At 40.3% G+C, this 21,473-nt stretch overlaps 1 long non-coding RNA gene across 2 annotated transcripts in view, besides 2 other annotated features; it reads left to right on the forward strand.

Annotated features, from left to right (window-relative positions):
* Window positions 1-21,473, forward strand: part of LOC101928219 (uncharacterized) — a 182,425-nt gene that overhangs the window by 23,654 nt on the left and 137,298 nt on the right. The window lies entirely within an intron of this gene.
* Window positions 20,281-20,782: an enhancer, noted in NCBI's record as "H3K27ac-H3K4me1 hESC enhancer chr1:96134923-96135424 (GRCh37/hg19 assembly coordinates)". NCBI's record gives its function as "activates a minimal SCP1, AML or CMV promoter by ChIP-STARR-seq in primed H9 embryonic stem cells {active_cell/tissue: H9 hESC(primed)}" and the evidence as "EXISTENCE:reporter gene assay evidence [ECO:0000049][PMID:30033119]".
* Window positions 20,783-21,282: an enhancer, noted in NCBI's record as "H3K27ac-H3K4me1 hESC enhancer chr1:96135425-96135924 (GRCh37/hg19 assembly coordinates)". NCBI's record gives its function as "activates a minimal SCP1, AML or CMV promoter by ChIP-STARR-seq in primed H9 embryonic stem cells {active_cell/tissue: H9 hESC(primed)}" and the evidence as "EXISTENCE:reporter gene assay evidence [ECO:0000049][PMID:30033119]".

Below are 21,473 nucleotides of genomic sequence, written 5' to 3' on the forward strand. Positions count from 1 at the left end.
GGGAGGCTGAGGCAGAGAATTGTTTGAACCTAGAGGCAGAGGTTGCAGTTAGCCGAGATCGTGCCACTGCACTCCAGCCTCGGTGACAGAGCGAGACTCCATTTCAAATTTAAAAAAAAAAAAAAAAAGGGAATCCTAATGAACCTTATGAGCACTGAGAGCCACAGAAGGCAGAAGCTGTAATTGTGTTAAAAGCCTACTGGTGGACCACAGCCGTGGGTGTGCAAACACAGGAGCAAGAAAATGTTATTGCCTAGTGGCCCTTGATCTCTTCCTCAGCATGACAGAATACTTAAAAGTTAGCTTCTTTTCTTCGATGATAGAATTTAAAATCTAAAGCCTATATTTCTTCTTTAGTACCAATTATTCAAAAGAAAAAATAGTACATTTCAGCTATTTTAGCCCTTCTTGCATTTTCTCTACTTTTCATTTGCTCTTTAAACTTCCAATACTCTGAGAAGAGATTTTTTCTTTAATTAATAAAGAATGTATGAAATACTTCAGCAACTTCACACACCCTATTGTTAAACTCACAGTTATCGTGGAAAGATGAGAAAAAAAATAAGATATGGAATCTCCCAAAACCCCAGTTAGGTCAGTGGTATTATATTTTAGAGAAGGAATCACAAAACCTTCAGAGATCTGTATCTCTAAATAGATTGGGTATTTGCTAATGCTCTGGGTTAATCATAAAGATAAAGGAATGGCTGACAGTGTGGTTGCTTAAAACACAGGCAGTAGGAAAAGTCTGAAAATGTAAATTTGCAATTTTTTTGTTGCTCTGTCCTGCATATGTGATGTAATGTGCACACTGTCATTGAGCCCTTACTTTCTTTTGAAAGGTTTTTCTGTGCAAAGGGGGAAATCCATCACACAGATTCATGCACCGAGACCCTGACACATGAGAGTAATCTTGCCAAGCTCTGTCCTCCCCACTTTTTCCATCCCCTGTGGGACTTAGGGAATAAGTCGGCTTCTCTTGACCTAAGATTACTGACCTATACATGAAGGAGTGGGTAAGTCTTTAAGGAATCTATCTTTCTTGGAGGCTAAAGGAATGATCTCTTCATTACCATTTCTTGCTATACTTGGGACATTTGTGGAAAATATCACTTCTTTGCCCACGGTGGTTCACTGTAGCTTTGACACTGCCTCATAATAAGGAATATATGGTACAAGAAATAATGTGGAAAGAAAGTCTAGATCTTCTGAATGGTAGCCTGGGTGGAGCCCACTTTCTAAATGTTTTGTAGTAATAGGAAGCATGACACAGAAAAATCCTCAGAATTTCTCAAAGTGTGTTCTCTACAAGATGAATTATAGAGGTTGTATCAGTTATGATGCTGTTTTTCTGCAAATATACTTGTCCCTAGTTATCTGAGAGGGATTTTTCCCATGCCCTTGTGGATACCAAAATTTGTGGTTGCTCAAGTTCCTCAGAAAAAAGGGCATAGTATTTGCACATAAACCACACACATTCTCTCATATACTTTAAATCATCTCTAGATTACCTATATTACCTAATATGTATTTTTAAAATTGTATTATGTTTTATTGTTGTGTTATTTTTATTGTTTTTTCCTAATATTTTTGATCCATGGTGAGTTGACTCTAACAGAAAACTCAATTACCTTGCTACTCATTGTGTGATTCATCAACCAGCACCGGCATCTCTTGGGAGCTGACTAGGGGCCCAGCCCAGATCTACTGAATCAGAATTTGCATTTTAACAAATCCCCAGATGATTCACCTATTTAAGTCTGAGAAGCTCTTTCCTACTTACCACACTGTCACACACTGAAGGCGTTTACTTATTTGATGCAATGAGACATCCCAGAGTAGGCAGTTCTGAGTTAGTATAGTGTCTCAATGATTCCATCGGAGACCCAGGATTTCATCATCTTTGTGCTTCACTATCCTAAGCATGTAGGGCTTTGCCTTTATTCATTGGCCTTAGAATCACAAGGTGGGTATTGGACCACTGATTTCTGGTCAAGAGGAAAGGCAACCAGGAAAAGATAAAAGGGACTTTCTCTCGGGGGGCCATTCGTTTCTATTCTGGAAGGACACCTGCCTCATGAAGCACCATCTCTTAGTGCCTATAACTGTGGTGCACAGCTAAGGTTAGACACCAGAGAAGCTGAAGTGTAAAGTATTTAATGTTCTCCATACAATAGATGACACAGGAGAAGTAAGTCGCTCTTGGGTGGCTAATCCACTGTCCCTGCCATATTTGTTAGCACATTTAGATAGAGAAAAAAATGGCCAAATAAACGTGGAAAATATATTTAAATAGATTTCCTTTATATAGGGCCACTCAAAATTTTTAATATACCAAGCTTCATTATAAATCTCCCAGAGAGAAATATAGTATGTAATGTTTCCACTTAACCTGATCACAGAACCCCCATTTTTCAGGAAAATATTTTCTGCTAAAAAATCAAATAACAAAAAAAGAAAAAAAATAGATTCATAATATTGTCTCTGTCCAATTATTCAACCCTGTTGTTAGAGTGCAAAAGCCATGGGCAATAGGTAATGAATTTGGCCCTCTGTGGGCCAGATTTTGCCCATGGGCCATAATTTAGTGACTTCTGTTTTATAGTTAGCCACAACAAAAATATGGTCAGCAGTAATACAACCACAACAACGTCTATTAATATGGCACCCTAGATTCTACAAACATTTTTAATATAACTATATATCTATATTATATACCTAACATAACATATATCTATATGTAATATAAAATATATTATATGTAGATATAGACATATACACACAATCTCTTCTGATTCTAACAAACATATGAAAAAGATCATCACTATTTTATGGTTTCTGGAAAATACAGTGTCACGCTGTAAACTTCCCTAAGTAATAGAAACATTCACTAGGGCTCTGGATATTATACTTAGCTAATTGTAGTAACAGTATAATGCTTTGAATGCTTTGAATTTATACTTTTTCTTCCCTAGGTGCTCAGAGAATTTCTTAATTTGATCTTCATAATTGTCCTTTGAGAGAATCCAGCACCCACCGAATTATGCACATGAGCCTTTGAAAGTATTTCACGTACTTTGGATTTATTATTGTACTCTGCAATTTGTAGACCTTAAATCACCCCCCGACACACCCCCAACATCTCCCCTTTCAAGTATACTGGATTATTAAAGGCAGATTGGACTGTTAAAGGCAGCTCAACTTCACTGCTAATTAAGTACCACTATTATACTGTGGACATGGGTCTATCATAACATCTATGGTGTTTTGGCACATATGTTTATTTAAATGTTTATGTGTCTTCCCTAAGAGACAATAAACCACATTAGGGCCAGACGTGTGTGTGTTCTGTTTGTCTCTGTCCTCAGTGCCAAACAGAGAACATAACATATGAATGTTGTTGAGTGACATGCTCTGTGTTAATAGTGGGGGCGGGGAGCCATGGGGGGCAGTGAGGTTGACTTCCCAGCTACTGGGCTGCCCTTCGGGTTTCAGAGTCAGTATCTTCTATCCTCACAGATGCACTGCCTCCATCGCTGCAGGTGGCCATCCATTCCAACTCTGCTGGTATTTTCTGTCATGTCAGAGCAATGAGAACAGATCCCAAGGCGACTGCAACGATGTACCTGTGGATTGAGTTCAGGCCATTAAATTGCCATCATGCGACCTATCTAATGTCATTATAGTCCAGCTTCAGCAAAGCAGAGTGATAGAGAAAAAAATGACACAATTACCAATGTATGTGTTCTCAGACTTTCAAAAGAGCCTGAAGGAAGAAGTGTCTGTAATAGATGGAACGGTAGACACACACACATACTCTCTCTCTCTCACACACACACACACACACACTCTCTCTCATTCTCTCTCTCTCTCACACACACACACCCCCTGACACACAGAGCCATGTTTTCCAGGGAGAAGTTTGTAAATTGTAGGAGGAAAGGAATTACTCAGCTAAGGTTTCTGTTTGGATGTGAGCTCAGTTCACTCTCTTTGGAACTCTCTATAGTCAAGTCTCTTTTCCAGGGGCTTATGGAAGAAATTTTGCAAATTCAAAAGTGGGAATGTTGAAAACCTGAAGCCCTTAAATCATTTATCTGGTGACATATGTTTACTGGTGTTTTACTTTGGGATTAAAAAGAAGAAAGAACTATACTGTCGGACTACAAATTGGTCTACAGCACATATTCGATGGAGTATATAACAGACCCCTATGTAATTTTATATTGAATATACTACATCTTGGATTCACTAAGTATAAAGTGACTCCTAGAAATGTTGTTTTGGTAGTTTTGACTCAGAACCTTTCTCCTGGAAAGGTCCTTTAGGAATTTCCAAATGATTTCTTACTTGTGCAAGTTTCCCAAGTAGCATCTTGCATGCTTTATTGTGCTGATCTTCTTTCTTAGTGTTCATATGCTTTTTCTTTGTTTTGTTGTTGTTGTTGTATTGGCCTCATTTCTTAGGGAAAGACTTGTGCAAAATTTCCACTGCTCTTAGCTTCTTATAATTTTAATGTCAGCCTCTCTTGTCACCTAGTCTGGCAAATTGGCCTGGGAACTTTGGGCATCTTTATGCCTTAAAATTATCTTAAAAATGCCTCCCACCTCCTCTCTAATTAACTGCAATCAGTAAGGCTAGTTGGTGGACACATGGTGTCGTAGCTCTGTGAAATGCTGCCTGATGGCTATAAACACAGCCATATGTTCTCTGTGAAATATGGCTGTAATCACCAGCAACAGGAACAGCTGATAGAAGATGAAGGATCGGCTCTGCTTGTCCTCCTGCGTTATTTGCAAAACCTGTGAGGCACTTTGCAGATTGGCTGAATATTTTCTCTTCGCCATCACTGCTTCTGCTAAATTTCCTTTGTATTTTAGCTTTAGTTCTTTCCAATATATATTTGAGCTTGAAATGGCAGTTATTAAAGGAATACGTTTAGTACCCTCCCATTTAACATCACGACACTTTAATTAAGATGGTCTGTCTTGAAATCCCGCAGTACACATGTAACCCAGGTTTCTAAAACTAAGTGGTTATCAAGAAAAAGGATAAAACCATCAAAATTTTCACAGTGAATGAACAAGAATTTCTCAGCAAAGTTCAATAGATTTGCCCTGAACTGGTGCAGCTTATAATACCCTTGAGCCTAATTGCTTTCCTGCATTTTGGCAAGAAAAATAGCTGTCTTGCAATGGAGTAGAAAGAAGAGGTTTGGAAGAAAGTGTCTTTTAAGAAAAGCTTCCAGTGAAAATTTCAATCAATATTTTTAATCCCAGAAGATGAGATAAAATATGATATTATGTTCCTTGCACTGCGAGATTGTGGATAGGGTTGTTTTTCAGTGTAGGTAGGAGAGCAGTTTCAGGAGCAAAGCAGCCTCGGTATCCCTCCCACACTACGATGCAGACAGTAAGCTATAATCCAACATTTCAACAATGCCTCATATCTGAGATTTAAAACAGTGGACCTCAGATGCCACATCCTTATTCAGCCAGGGTGGATTCCTGGTTTCGTGGCTGGGCTGTGAGACACAAATGTCTGGCTTTCCCACGCAAGCATGTGAGAGAAGCCGCGTATAAGATGTGTAATGCACTCTCTGTCTCTCCACTTAGCTGCATTTAGTTGTTTTGTTTATTAAAGTAACCAGACAATACTGAGTGTACAGTTGAGGCATTGATTGCTTTTAAGCCTCCACTTTCCCATTTTAAAATGTTTTAGTTTGCTAATTTTGATATCAAGTATGTGTGTGCGTATGTACATGTATATATTATATATATTATTGAAAGCTTGCCTCTTCAATGCTTTGGGGGCTTTGTTAAAACAGGGCTGTCACCCTTTACCCTTTTTTTGCCTTTTTGTTTTTTACACCTTGTATGCACCACACAGGCTATTAAACTGTGTGCAGGTGATTGATCTCTTTAATAAAAGCAAGTTCTTTAGTAAGCAAAGAGTGATAAAGATAAACAAATGTACTGGTTTGTCCAGTGCTTTGGAGATTATGGTAACACGAGGGCATCAAGAAAGCCTATTAACAGATAAGTTAGATGAAACACATCAATTCTGATTTCAGTAAGTCAGGAACCATTCGCTTTAAGTTAATTTTATCCATGTTTTCTCTTCATTTGTAATACTTTGTGGGTTTTAACAGAAAATATTTAATAGTGTGCTGCGTAGTCCATAGATAAACGATGTTGGCAATTTCTCCACCTAACTGCTTGTCAAGCCCCTTAGCAAGGTACACACTGCCCTGCAGTTTATCATCTCGATTTCTAGATTGTTTTGGAAGATCATTGAGAGGGCTGAGACTCCCCAGAGGACTGTGCTCTAATCCTGTCATATTTTTTAAAATGCTGGAAAGTGTAAGGTTACATGGTAAGCTGATTTTACATAGGCATTTCTTCAGCTCGTCACAATAGCGCTCTCTTTCCATGGTAACTGGCGTTTCCATGGCACACACTGCAAGCTCCTCCAGAGCAGCTGAGGGGCTTTCTGAAGATGCTCACCCACCCACAAGTGTGAGCACACTTGCCCTCTCTCTCTCTCTCAGGCACAGATTCAGCCCACCGTTTATGTGAAGACAGGCACATTTTCTCACAGAAATTCACCAAATGGAACAAAGCTAATTTAAAAATAAAATTTGCTTTGCTCCCTATTATGTGATAAGACAAATAGCCACTGATGTGGCCTTTTAGAGTGATCTGGAAATGTCACAAAGCCAGTGTTGTCCTCATTGACATGGATTAACAGGATAAAATCTTGGAGGCAAAATTTGACAGGGAAAACAGTCGTCCCTGGACCAGATTTTCTAAATTTATTTCCATTCCTTACACTTTGAGCTAAGTCTATAGCTCAACATCATGTTAGATGCTGTGAAGCATAAAAGAAATTTATGCCCACGGGGACCTTGCTTTTGTTTGGAGACTTGGGGGAATAAGATTTAGACATATGCAATAATTAGAAAATAATATAAGGCTGTAAATAATCAAAATATATTCTTCCCATAGGATCACTCCAACATTTTTAGGCTTGGGGGCAAAAAATTTCGCTGTTTTCTTCCCCTATCACTATTATCCTTAGGACTAGCAAAAACCAAAACATTTCAGGAAGATGCACCAGTTTAGGAAGATGTAGTGGTGAAGAACTTTTTGAGGTACTATCTGCTTAATTTTTAAGAATAAATAGCCATTATATTGTTCTTTTATTACTGATTTCATAATTGACATCTTATCCTTTTTAAGCATAGGCGGTCACTTCTCAAGTTGACTTTCTGGTGCTTTAAATAAAATGTACAGTTTTCATTTGGTCTGAGCAAATTGAGTTAGACTACATCATCATCTGAATGACGATTCCTATATTGTCTTTTTTCTTTGATGAAGCAAGGCAGTGTAGAGAACATGGCTGCTATGGTTAAGTTTGTGTGTTGGAAACTTAATCCCCAGTGCAACGGTGTGGAGAGGCAGGACCTTTAAGAGCTGATTAGAACTAAAGGCATGATCTTAGTAGTGGGTTAGTTATTATGGGAATGGGTTCCTGATAAAAGGGTAAGTTTGGCTCACTTTCTCTTTTGCTCCCTCTCATCCTCTTTCGCCTTCTTATCTAATGCCGTGGGATGACACAGCAAGAAGGCCCTAATAAGGTGCTGGCACCTTGATATTAGAATTCCCAGCCTCCAAAACTATGAGAAATAAATTGTTTTTTAATACAAATTACCCAATCTGTGGTATTCTGTGATAGCAACACAAAACAGACTAAGAAAATAGATTTGTGGTTAAATAAATTCATTTGACTTCTGGATCTCTCATTTATTAGCTTTGTGGCTTTGGCCAAGTTAACTGACCTCTCTGAACTGGAGCAGCAAAGTGGTCTTAATACAATGGTAGGTATGTTTGTTTCTGTTAGGGTAACTATGAGGATTAAGTGGGATATTGATATGCTCAATAAACGGTAGCTTATTTATTCAACAAATGTGCATTAATTTTACACTATGTTTCAGGCATTGTCTTAATTGTGTGGATATAACAGGATTGATTTTTGGCTTTCAGGCATTTAGCATGAAGACACTGATGCAGGAAAACATAACACCATAAGATCCACTGAAACGTGGAATGGCATCTAACAGCTCCCCAAACATTAGTGAGTTAGCCTGGAAAAGTACGGGAATTTAGTTTTGTGGATATGAGTGATCCACTTTTTGCTTGGTTTTGATTTGGGGTCTGTGCCTTTTCATCGATGTCTCCATGGGTAAATTCGTACAATTTTGTGTTTCTGACAAATTGATGTACCATAGTTATAGATATTTACTCGGCTTGTGTAATATCCAAACTGGAATTTCTAATTAAAGCTAATGCTGACTCATGACTCTTGAAGTCTCCTGAGATTGCTGTGGCCAGATCCTGCTTGAAGGTCTCATCATGTATTTACTCATATACTCATTCATTAAGTCATTCATTTGACACATATTTATTCAGCACCCATTATATGCAAGTTAGTAGCTATGCATTAAGGTGGAAACAAAGATCAATCCGCAGATTTTGATCCTATCCTCAAAGAATGGACAGTTACTGAAATTTTGGGATCTGTGAGGGAACGGATGATAGGAGGGAAATGAAGTGTCTAAAATCAGGGGACTGTGTCAAATCGGCAGCTATTCTGGCATAAGATCTGTAGAAATCAGCATCATACATCTGGATCCTCCCCTCCTACCTACCTATGGATCTTCTTGGTCACTGTCCTCAGTAAAGAAAAGTATCAAGTATAAGTAGACATACTCAATTCATCATTTTTTTCAAGGAACATGTATTTTGTTTCCAAATGTGTCTATTGCTTTTCATAAAGAGCTTTCATTTTTCTTGGTAAGGAAATATGATAGCTGCACGGAGCAGCTAAGGAAGAACTCAAGCCTAGAGGTCCCAGTGGAGATTTAGAGTAATAAAGGTAAAAATGGTGGACTGTAAAGAAGTCTAAGATAATGTTATAAAAGTGCTATGTCTTAAATTGTACCTCAAAACAGCAGCATGAAAACAACAATGAGAAATTTGGGTAGGTGGAAAGAAAGGGAGAAGATAGAGAAAGAACCCAAATGTACCCCAAGGATGAAGGCAGAAATGAGCTTGGCACATTATGCTAAATGAAAGAAACCAGACATAAAAGACCACATATTGTAGGATTGCACTTACATAAAATGACCAGAGAAGGCAAAGCTATGGGGACAGAGAGTGGGGCTGCAGATGGGAATGTGGATTAACTGCCAATGGGCATGAGAGATCTTCTTGAGGTGATGAAAATATTCTAAAACTGGATTTTGGTGATGCTTGCACAACTTGATAAACATTAAAAATCAGTAAACTATAAACTCAGAGTAGGTGAATTTTATAGTATTTAAGTTATACTTTAATTATGTTAAAAAATAACAACAAAAAGAAATGTTTCTCCTGTGAATAAAGACTGGTAAGGAAATTGATATGGTTGCAGCTGTGGGGCCAGAGTCTCAGAGCAGACAAATAAATTGACCAAAGTCACACAGCTGGCAAGAAGTAAAACTTAGATTAAAGAAAAAGATAATTTGGCTCCAAGATAAGATTGGATAGGTGAAATGGTGACAATTGGAGGAGAATATTGGGTTAATGAGGAGAAGAGGATGAGCTTCATCTGAAAAACTAGGTGAAATATTTTTGACTCTTTGTAGAAAATAAGCATGCTGAAAGCAGTATTTTAGAAAGTTTAATTTAGTAGCGGGAATCACAGGTGCAATATTTTTTTAGAAGCCATGATGGATGAATGAGTGCAGTCATCTAAGTGAGGTGGGTCTTGGTTAGAGTTATGGAAGAGAAAAATCGGAGGGACATTTTGAAGGAAGAAGAGTCACGTCATGCTGACTGATCCCACAGGATTAATTATATATGAAAGTGCTTTGAAAACTGACAAGTTTGTTAAAGAAATGGAAATGATGAATTTTTACTATTGAGCTTACTGAAAGCAGTAATCAAATAAGTGGAGATACTCAAGATGTTGTAGAGGAAAGGGATAGGTGTGGGAAAAATATCCTTCAGGGGATTATGAGATGGCTTATGAGTAGAGAGGGAGGTATTTCTGTAGGAAGGCAGCTGGTCTCTTCTGGGACTGCAGAGAAGTTGATGCCACACATCACACATATTACAACCTATGCGATGGGTGCCATGCTGGATACAGCAGAGGTTTACTAGGCAGAGGTTTTGGTTGCATGTGACAGAAACCCAGCTCAAATTCATTTAAGAAAAAATGGAGTATGTTGTTACGCAATATTAGAGAGTTCAGGAATTGCATGAGCAATATCTTTTTAAAATCTGTTGGCTACATTACATCCACTCTATGTTTGCACAGTATGTCTCATGTGAAAACAAAGAACAATGATCATTGAAATTCATTTGTTAATTGTTCACTCCTTCTTCCAACAAAACTTTATTCAAAACCTTTTATATCAAAGCATGACCAGGTGTAATAAGAAATACACATGTTCCAAGTCCCAAGGAACTTACATCTAATACACTGCCTGGAGGATATTAGGCCTCGTACAGCAATTGGGCAAATGTTTCTCTCTCCAACTGGGGTCTGCAGTATATGTGGAACAATCTGAACAGTTCTTTCCTTAATCAGCTAGAGAGAAAAAAAGTCAACTAGACCTTCCTTTCCCTTCTTTGATATTTGAGATATTCTTGGAATGGTATTTCATTGCCCTTTGGTGGAATAGCTCACGAAGCCAAATAATACTTTGTGTAAACTACAGACTTTCCGAAAGGGTGTGTTTGAAATTTTTGACTCAGCTAACTTTCGTCAAGTTAAACATTAAAGATTAGGAAGGAATTTAAGCATTTGTAGAAAATTGGGACAAATTTTTGTAAATTAAAGAAGAATTAATTAAAGAAAGCTTATTATAGTCAACAAGTTTTTGGGAGCTCTATTGTGTGACATGTGTCCCCCAAATTGATTTTAAAAAATTATTACCAAGTAGGAGGAGTTGGTGTTTATTCCAAGTTTGTATTTCCAGCTACCTGCATACCATGGAGACACAGTAGGAGAGGGCCTCTTTTATAAGTTCTCTCAGATAAGCCTGAAGGGTTTATTAAAAGCATAACATTTGCGTACACTAAGTGCTGTCCCTTGTTTTTCACTAGAGTAAGCTGAAACTTGGAAAAGTCTAGAAAGCAGATTGAGACCATCAGTTTATCCCAGTGGCAGTATTCAGACATGAAACCAGGTCTCCTTTTTATTTGACATTCTTGGATCACTTGTTTTAACTTCCTAGCAATTCACAGTTGATTGGTTGAACCATGCCCTCTCCAATACAAACAATAGAATCCTATTTTTCCCACTCTCCTACTTGCCCACAGGTCACCATAATATATAGATTAATTTCAGAAATATGTTTCTAAAAGGTTAGTCTTTAAATTTCCCCAACTTCCCGCCATCTCCTTTTAGCTCATCCTGAAGAGCCAGAATACTGTGAAGATTCAGAGCCGGGGTGAAAAAAGAACTGGGCTTTGGTCCCAGTTCTACCAGTTGTTAATGACTACAGAAAGGTACTTAATAGTGATAGTAGGTTGCATTCGTGTCCTGCAAAGTTTCACTCTCTTCCACTCCTTCCATGGGGGCTGTATTTTTCCACCCCAGTGATACTAGGTTTGGCCATGTAATTTACTTTGTCTATGATAGGTTATCAAGGGGAGGCTTTAACCAGAATGTTACCAACATTGAGTTCCAATGTTAAATATGCTTGCCTAGTTTGATTTGGCCTCATGTTCTTTTGCCATCAGCTGTGAGAAAAGTAAGCTCTGGGGAGCTGCTGGTCCTGGAATGAAAGACAGCTTAAGCAAACTCGAGCCAATTTACAGCCTGGAGCCTAGTCAGCTGATCTCAGCTCAGCTCACAGAGTCACAAGTCACCCTAGCCAACCCACAAACTTATGAGTGAGAAAAATTGTATTATACTTATTTCCATAACGTTGTGAAGATTCATAAAGATGATATATGTAACATGTTTAGGACATTACCTATCACATTGTAGAAAACAATATTATTCATTATTATTTATTACTGTTTAGTAAACCATGGCCTTCCCAATAGTAAACACATCATTAAAACATGCTGGTATACTTATGTCACCTGGATATAATAGAGCAAAACCTTCCAAAGAAGGAGGAGTGCATGCAGTATTATGATAAAGCTGAACTCATCACCATTGGTTACACCTGTCCCAACTCCCCAAATCCTTGCTGGGTTAATGGATGACATGAGCCCCTTGGTGGTTGGTAGGTCTCTTCTTTCTACAGAATACCTTAGCTCTTCTACCTAGGCCTGCTACCTCCAGAGCAGATGAAGAAAGTGGTATTGAGCTCCTTTTCATACACTTGTTAGCAATTTTTATGTAATTTTTGGAGAAACGTCAGAAATGTCTGCTAAGTTCTTTGCTTGTTTTTATTTATTATTTATTATTATTATTAATTTTTTTTGAGACACAATCTCCATCTGTCACCCAGGCTGGAGTGCAGTGGCACAATATTGGCTCACTGCAACCTCTGCCTTCTGGGTTCAAGCCATTCTCGTGCCTCAGCCTCCCAAGTAGCTGGGACTACAGGCATGCATCACCACACCTGGCTAATTTTTGTAATTTTAGTAGAGATGGGATTTTGCCATGTTGGCCAGGATGGTCTTGAATTCCTGGCCTCAAGCACTCCACCCACCTCGGCCTCCCACAGTGCTTGGATTACAGGTGTGAGCCACCCCACCCGACCCTTTGCCCATTTTTAAATTGTATTATTTGGTTTCCACTATTGAGTTGTAAGAGGTTGATATATTTTGGCTGTGTCCCCATCCAAATCTCAACTTGAATTGTATCTCCCAGAATTCCCACATGCTGTGGGAGGGACCCAGGGGGAGGTAATTGAATCATGGGGGCCGGTCTTTCCCGTGCTATTCTCATGGCAGTGAAAAAGTCTCACGAGATGTGATGGGTTTATCAGGGGTTTCCACTTTTGCTTCTTCCTCATTTTTCTCTTGCTGCCACCATATAAGAACTGACTTTCAGCCGGGTGCGGTGACTCACGCCTGTAATCCCAGCACTTTGGGGGGCCAAGGCGGGTGGATTGCCTGAGCTCCGGAGTTCAAAACCAGCCTGGGAAACATGGCGAAACCCTGTCTCTACTAAAAATACAAAAAATTAGCTGGGTGTGGTGGCTGGCACCTGTAATCCCAGTTACTTGGGAGGCCGAGGAAGGAGAATTGCTTGGACCGGGGAGGCAGAGGTTGCAGTGAGCCAATCGCACCGCTGCACTCCAGCCTGGGTAACAGAGTGAGACTCTGTCTCAAAAAAAAAAAAAAGAAAGAAAGAAAGAAAAAAAAAGTGCCTTTCACCTCCTGCCATGATTCTGAGGCCTCCCCAGCCATGTGGAACTGTAAGTCCAATTAAACCTCTTTTTCTTCCCAGTGTCAGTTATGTCTTTATCAGCAGTGTGAAAATGGACAAATACAGAGTTCTTTATAAATTTTAGATATCAACCCATTATAAGATTTGTAGTTTGCAATTATTTTTTCCCAGTCCATAGGTTGTCTTTTCATTTTGTTGATTGTTTCCTTTACTGTGAAGAAGCTTTTAAGTGTGATGTAGTATCATTTACTTATTTGTGTTTTGGCAGCTTGAACTTTTGACGTTATATCCAAAAAACATTGCCAAGGCTACTATTGAGGACCTTTTCCCCTATGTTCTCTTCTAGGAGGTTTATGGTTTCAGATCTTATATTTGGTTTTAATTCTTTTTCCCTTCATTTTGAGCTGATTTTTGTGTATGGTGTAAGGGTCCAATTTCATTCTTTTGCATGTAGAATTATAGTTTCCACAGCACCATTTATTGAAGCAACTACTCTCTTCCCATGGTGCCCTTTTGGTGCTCCTGTCTAAAATTAGTTCACCATATATGTTTGGATTTATTTCTTGGGTCTCTATTCTATTCCATTGGTTTATGTTACTGTTTTTATGCCAATACCATACTGTTTTGATTACTATAGTTTTATAATATAATCCAACATCACTAATCATAAGGGAAATACAAATTAGAACCACTATGAGATATCACCACACACCTCTAAGAATGGCTATTATAAAAAAGACAAGCAATAACAAATGTTGGTGATGGTATGGAAAAAAGAGAACCTAGTACACTGTTGGTGGGAGTGTAGATTGGTAGAGCCATTCTGAAAAACAGTATTAAAGTTCCTAAAGAAATTATAAATCGAACTACCATATTGTGTCCAGAATTGGTTCCTTCCAGTGGGTTCTTGGTCTCGCTGACTTCAAGAATGAAGCCGGAGACCATTGCGGTGAGTGCTACAGTTCTTAAAGATGGTGTGTCCAGAGTTTTTTCCTTCAGATGTTCAGATGTGTCCAGAGTTTATTCCTTCTGGTGGGTTTGTGGTCTCACTGACTTCAGGAGTGAAGCTGCAGACCTTCGCAGTGAGTGTTACAGCTCTTAAAGGTGGGGCATCTGGAGTTGTTCATTGCTCCCGGTGGGTTCGTGGTCTCCTTGGCTTCAGGAGTGAAGCTCCAGACCTTCGTGGTGAGTGTTACAGCTCACAAAGGTAGTGCAGACCCAAAGAGTGAGCAGCGGCAAGATTTATTGCGAAAGAACCATCCACAGCATGGAAGGTGACCTGAGCGGGTTGCCACTGCTGGCTTGGGTGGCCAGCTTTTATTCCCTTATTTAGCCCTGCCCACATCCTGCAGATTGGTCCATTTTACAGAATGCTGATTGGTCCATTTTACAGAGTGCTAATTGGTCCGTTTTTACAGAGTGCTGATTAGTGCATTTACAAACCTTTAGCTAGACACAGAGTGCTGATTGGTGTGTTTTTACAGAATGCTGATTGGTGTGTTTACAAACCTTTAGCTAGACACAGAGAGCTGATTGGTGCATTTACCATCCTTTAGCTAGACAGAAAAGTTCTCCAAGTCCCCACCTGACCCAGAAGCCCAGCCCAGCTTCACCTCTCAATATGACCCAGCAATTCCTCTTCTGGGTGTATATCCAACGAGATAAAGTCACTACCTTGTAAACACATCTGCAGGGCACGGTGGTTCACGCCTGTGATCCCAGCACTTTGGGAGGCTGAGGTGGGTGGATCACCAGGTGAGGAGATCGAGACCATCCTGGCCAACATGGTGAAACTCCGTCTCTACTAAAAATACAAAAAATTAGCTGGGCATGGTGGCATGCACCTGTAGTCCCACCTACTTGGGAGGCTGAGGCAGGAGAATTGCTTGAACCTGGGAGGTGGAGGTTGCAGTGAGCAGAGATTGTGCCACTGCACTCCAGCCTGGCGACAGAGTGTGATGCCATCAAAAAAAAAAAAAAAAAAAAAAAAAAAAAAAAAAAGACATCCACACTCCCATTTTCATTGCAGCATTATTGACAACAGCCAGGATACAGAAACAACCTAAATGCTCATTGATGGATGAATGGATAAAATAAAATGTCACATACCCACACACACACACACACAAACTCACGATGGAATATTTTTCAACCTTAAAAAAGGAGATCCTGCCATTTGCCATGAATGGATGAACTAGGAGTACATTACGCTAGGTGAAATAAGCCAGACTCAGAAAGAAAAATATTGCGTGATTTTACTTATGTGGAATTTAATATGTGGAATATTAAAAAACAGGGCTCAAACACACAGGGATAGAGAATGAAACTGTGGTTAACATTGGTAAGGATGGAAGAGAGAAAATAGGGAGATATAGGTCAAAGGATACAAAACATCAGACATGTAAGGAGAACAAGTCTAGATATTTAATGTATAATATGAGGAGTAAAGTTAATAAAATTGCACAGTATTAGGGTTTTTGTTAAATAAGTTCATTTTAGCTGCTCTTGTCACACACACAAAGTAACTATGTGAGATGATAGACAGGTTAATCTGTTTCACTATTGAAACCATTTTACTGTTACTATGTATCCTGCATCATGTTGTAAACCTCAAATATAAACAATACAATTTAGTTCTTTTAAAAAAGAATGTGGTGTTGGCGACTAGAGCAGACACACTCAATGCCCAGCTGGTACCTCCTAGGCTCACTTCTGAGTTTCATACGCATTAAAATCTTTGTCCCTTTGACACTTGGATATCTCTGCTTCTCAGCCTGGGAGCTTTCTCGGGTACCAGGGCAGCTTGTTCAGAAGTGAGGAAGAACCTCTGGGGCAGTCCTCAAGCCTTTAAGAGATGGGATTTGGTGAATTAGTACTGTAGCTTTCCTGTCCCTCTGTGAGACATTTTGAGGAATATTCTATTAGATCCCATCAGGCTTGAACCTCAATTTCCTACAATGGTAACATGTTCATGGACATACCTGTATACGGAAAAAAAAAACTGTTTCACACCACTCCCAATATTTCCCTTCTGACACCAGATAGGTGGGTTTTTTCCCACACCAAGAAATTCTCCAACACCATTCTGCTGTCCTAAAATTTAACAAAATTCCAATACTCTCTACCTGGAGATAGCATCAAATTTCACAGGTTAAAGACTCAGTTCCACAAGACTGCCCTTACTTACAGATGCCAGTTGCAAGTAGTAGGTCCCCAGGTTACCAACAACTTCTTCTGACTTAGGTCATATTGGAGGTTCCCACAACACCCTCCTTGGGTTTGAGAATTTGAGTGGCTCACGAAATCCAGGAACTCAGTTTACCTAGTATGGTTGACTTGTTACAAAGGCTGTTTTAAAGGATACAAATGAACTGTCAGAGGAAGAGGCCTATAGGGTGAGGTTCAGAAGTGTCCTGCACATAGGAGCTTCTGTCTCCATGGAGTTGGGATGCGCCACCCTCCCGACACGTATATATACTCTTGTTCACCAACCTAGAAGTTTCCTGAACCCTAAAGTTCAGGGATTTTTGTGAAAGCTTCACCACACACAAGTGGCTGATCATTAATTCCATTTCCAGTCCTTTACCTATTTTCTGGAGAATAGGGAGTGGGGCTGAAGGTTCCAAGCTTCTAGTCATGGCTTGGTCTTTCTGGTGACCGGCGCCTATCCAGGAATCCATCAAGAGTCAACTCATTAGAGCAAAAGATGCTCCTATCATCCAGGAAATTCCAAGGGATTTAGGAGCTCTGTATCAGATGCTCCTATCACTCAGGAAAGTTCAGTGGTCTTAGAAGCTCTGTATAGGGAGCCAGAGTCAAAGACCAAATATTGGAAAAAAAGATACTTCTCGCACCCCTATTTACAAGGGTTTTAGAAGCTGTATGTCGGGACCTGGGGCAGAGGCCACTTTATATATTTCTTACTATTCCATAATACCCTTTACTGGTTTTTATCCATTTTTTTGTCTTACTTTACTCACTCCCCCGCTTATACTTTCTTGAATGATATCCCAAGTAAGCTTCAAGTCCCTTTCTCAGGACTTGTTTTGGGGAGTACCAATCTCAGAAAAGTGGCTTAACTCATCTTTTCCCCTTTTGTCCACCTTGCCTGCTAGTCTGACAGGGGGACCATGGCAGATATCAACACATATATTGAAAATCTGGTAATAAGTTTTAACTACATTTTCCTTAATTTTGTATGTAATGGAAGCCAGTGTTCTTATTTGGACAAGGTTATTGCCTTAAGAGAAGGGAGCTGTTACACCTAAGGTTGTGTATCCTCCCCAAGGATGGTCCACAACAAATGGCTGGTTGATGTGGAGGTTTAAAGCTTTACCCCACTTGCCTCAATCTGGTATAAGTCTGAAGGGGATTTCCAGCTTCAGACCCCTTATAAGGTTGGAATCGCCTGAGGCTTCTGTTACAACTGCATCACAGTTCAACTTCTTCTGTCCATTTCTGCTTCTCTTACTCCCTTACAGCCTTCTCCCCAAAAGCATTTCCCAGTAGATGCCCTGTGTGTAATCTCTACCTCACTTTTTGTGTCCAGGTGTTGCTAGGAATGGTCTTAGGAAGTGGACTCTAAAATGGGATTTGTAGCTGGATCATGCACCGTCCAGCTGGCAACAAGGACTCCATCATAAGTATTAAGTGGAGTGCTGATCGCTTCCTGGCTTGTTATTATGGTGTTGTTAGTAGAATTGGTGGTGAGCAGTGATGGGATACCTGTGGAAGGCTGGTACAGCATTTCAGGAATTCAAAAGATAGCGGTAAAATAGTCATTGTAGACCATGGAATCAGGTAGCTGTTGCTTTAAATTTTTCCTGATTTAGTCAATGGAACAAAATGGAGATTTCAGAAATAGACTTATAGTTGGTTGTTTCTAAACAGAGGTGCCAAAGTGATTCAGTGGGAAAAGATCCTTAAAACAAGTGGCTCTCAAACAACTGGAAATCCAGGTGTATAACCATGTACCTAAACCCTGTCTCATGCCGTACACAAAAATTAGTTCAATATGAACCTTAGACTTTAATATAAAAATCTAAAACTGTTAAGCTTTTAGAAGATAATATAGGGCAGTAACTTAGGGCAGGCATCTTAGTCTATGTTGTGCTGCTATAATGGAATACCTGAGACTGAGTAACTTATAAAGAACGGAATTTTATTTCTCACAGTTTTGGAGGCTGGGAAGCCCCAGATGAAGTCATTGACATCTGCTGTCTGGTCAGGGCCTTTTTGGTGCATCCTCACTTGGCAGAAGGTAGAAGGCCAAGAAAAGGGACAAATTCTCTCTACAGCCATTTGTGGGAAGGTGCGTAATCCCATTCATAACAGTGAAGCCCTCATAATTTACTCACCTCCCAAAGGGCTCAACACCCAATACTGTTGCATGGGGGACTGAATTTTCTTATGAATTTTGGCGGAGATGAAAACATTCAAACCATAACAATAAGCAAAGATTTCTTAAATAGGATAAACAGCAATAGTAATTTTTAAGAAAGAGAAATTATACTTTCTCAAAATTAAAAAACTTTTACTTATTAAAAGACAACAGTAAGAAAATAATTAGGCAAGCTACAGGTTGTGATAAAATATCATACAGTTATATTAAATAAAACCCTTAAATTCAGAACATATAGAAAATTCTTCCACTTAGTAATAAAAAATTTGGGAAAAGATTTGAATAGTTTAGACACTGCACAAAGAAACATGGTTAATAAACACATATAAAACTCATTGACATCATTAGTCGTCAGGGAAGTAAAACTATAAATCACAATTAGATACTACTCCACACCCATTAGAATGACTAAAATTACAAAGACTATCAACAATAAATCTTGGCAAGGATCTAGAGCAACTGAAACCCATATACATTGCTCGGGAGGGGCGGTATAAAATGGTACAAACACCTAGAGTGTACTCTGGCAGTTTCTTATAAAGTTAAACATAACCTCTATGACTCAGAAATTATACTGCTAGATATTTACCCAAGAAAAATGAAAGTATATGTCTAGAAAGACTTGATTGAAATTTCATAGCAGTTTTATTCACAATAGCTAAAAGCTGGAAACAACTCAAATATCCATCAACAGAAAAGTGGCTAGACCAATTTCAGTATACAATACTATTCAACCATAAAGAAGAATTAAACACCTATATATGCAGTAACATAGATGAATCTCAAAATCATTATGCTGAGGGAAAGAAGCAAGACATGTCAAACTATATTTTGTATGAAGATCTGGAAAAGGCAAAACTAACTGTGTAGTGAAAAAGATCTCAATAGTAGTGAAGCCGTGGACCCTCACGGTGAGTGTTACAGCTCTTAAGGTGGCGCGTCTGGAGTTTGTTCCTTCTGATGTTCAGATGTGTTTAGAATTTCTTCCTTTTGGTGGGTTCATGGTCTCGCTGGCTCAGGAATGAAGCTGCAGACCTTCGTGGTGAGTGTTACAGCTCTTAAGGTAGCGCGTCTGGAGTTGTTCATTCCTCCCGGTGGGCTCGTGGTCTCGCTGGCTTCAGGAGTGAAGCTGCAGATCTTTGCGGTGAGTGTTACAGCTCATAAAAGCAGTGTGGACCCAAAGACTGAGCAGTAGCAAGATTTCTTGCAAAGAGCGAAAGAACAAAGCTTCCACAGTGTGGAAGGGGACCACAGCGGGTTGCCACTGCTGGCTCGGGCAGCCTGCTTTTATTCTCTTATCTGGCCCCACCCACGTCCTGCTGATTGGTAGAGCCCAGGGGTCTGTTTTGACAGGGTGCTGATTGGTGCGTTTACAATCCCTGACCTAGACATAAAGGTTCTCCAAGGCCCCACCAGAGTAGCTAGACACAGAGTGTCCAATGGTGCCCTCACAAACCCTGAGCTAGACATAAATGTTCTCCAAGGCCCCACCAGAGTAGCTAGATACAGAGTATCGATTGGTGCACTCACAAACCTTGAGCTAGACACAGGGTACTGATTGGTGTGTTTACAAACCCTGAGCTAGAGACAGAGTGCCGATTGGTGGATTCACAATCCCTGAGCTAGACATAAAGGTTCTCCAAGGCCCCACCAGACTCAGCAGCCCAGCTGGCTTCACCCAGTGGATCCCACACCGGTGCTGCAGGTGGAGCTGCCTGCCAGTCCCACGCCGTGCGCCTGCACTCCTCAGCCCTTGGGTGGTCGATGGGACTGGCTGCCGTGGAGCAGGGGGTGGCACTCGTGGAGGAGGCTCGGGCTACCCAGGAGCCCACGGAGGGGGTGGGAGGCTCAGGCTTGGCGGGCTGCAGGTCCCGAGCCCTGCCCCACGGGAAGGCAGCTAAGGCCTGGCGAGAAATCGAGTGCAGCGCTGGCGGGCTGGCACTGCTGGGGGACCCAGTACATCCTCCGCAGCCGCTGGCCCGGGTGCTAAGCCCCTCATTGCCGGAGCCGGCAGGGCCGGCCGGCTGCTCCGAGTGTGGGGCCCGCCAAGCCCACACCCACCCGGAACTCCAGCTGGCCCGCAAGCGCCACACGCAGCCCGGGTTCCCGCTCGCGCCTCTCCCTCCACACCTCCCTGCAAGCTAAGGGAGTGGGCTCCGGCCTTGACCAGCCCAGAAAGGGGCTCCCACAGTGCAGCGGTGGGCTGAAGGGCTCCTCAAGTGCCGCCAAAGTGGGAGCCCAGGCAGAGGAGGCGCCGAGAGGGAGCGAGGGCTGTGAGGACTGCCAGCACGCTGTCACCTCTCAGTAGTTTCTTCTGCAGGTAGAGATTACCTGAGAAAGAGCACCTGGGGTCTCCCAAGAGTGAAGGAAATATTTCATATATTGATATGGGTCTGATTATACGGGTGTATTCACTTTTCAATTCATCAAACTATAACACTTAAAAGCAGAGCATTTCAATGTATATAAATTACACTTCAATAAAATAAAGAGTTAAAAAATATAAGTATACTAAGGAACTTTATTAAAAATTTGAATACAGACTTTCTTGAACTTGATTACCTTTCACATTCTCTTTCTTTTAATTATTTGCTGAGGGAATGATTATATTGGAGAGTGCTTTTAAATGAGTAAATTGCTGTTAAAAATTTCTAATTTAGAAATCCATTCT

The sequence above is a fragment of the Homo sapiens genome, chromosome 1 (genome assembly GCF_000001405.40).
Source record: "Homo sapiens chromosome 1, GRCh38.p14 Primary Assembly".
NCBI lineage: Eukaryota > Metazoa > Chordata > Mammalia > Primates > Hominidae > Homo > Homo sapiens.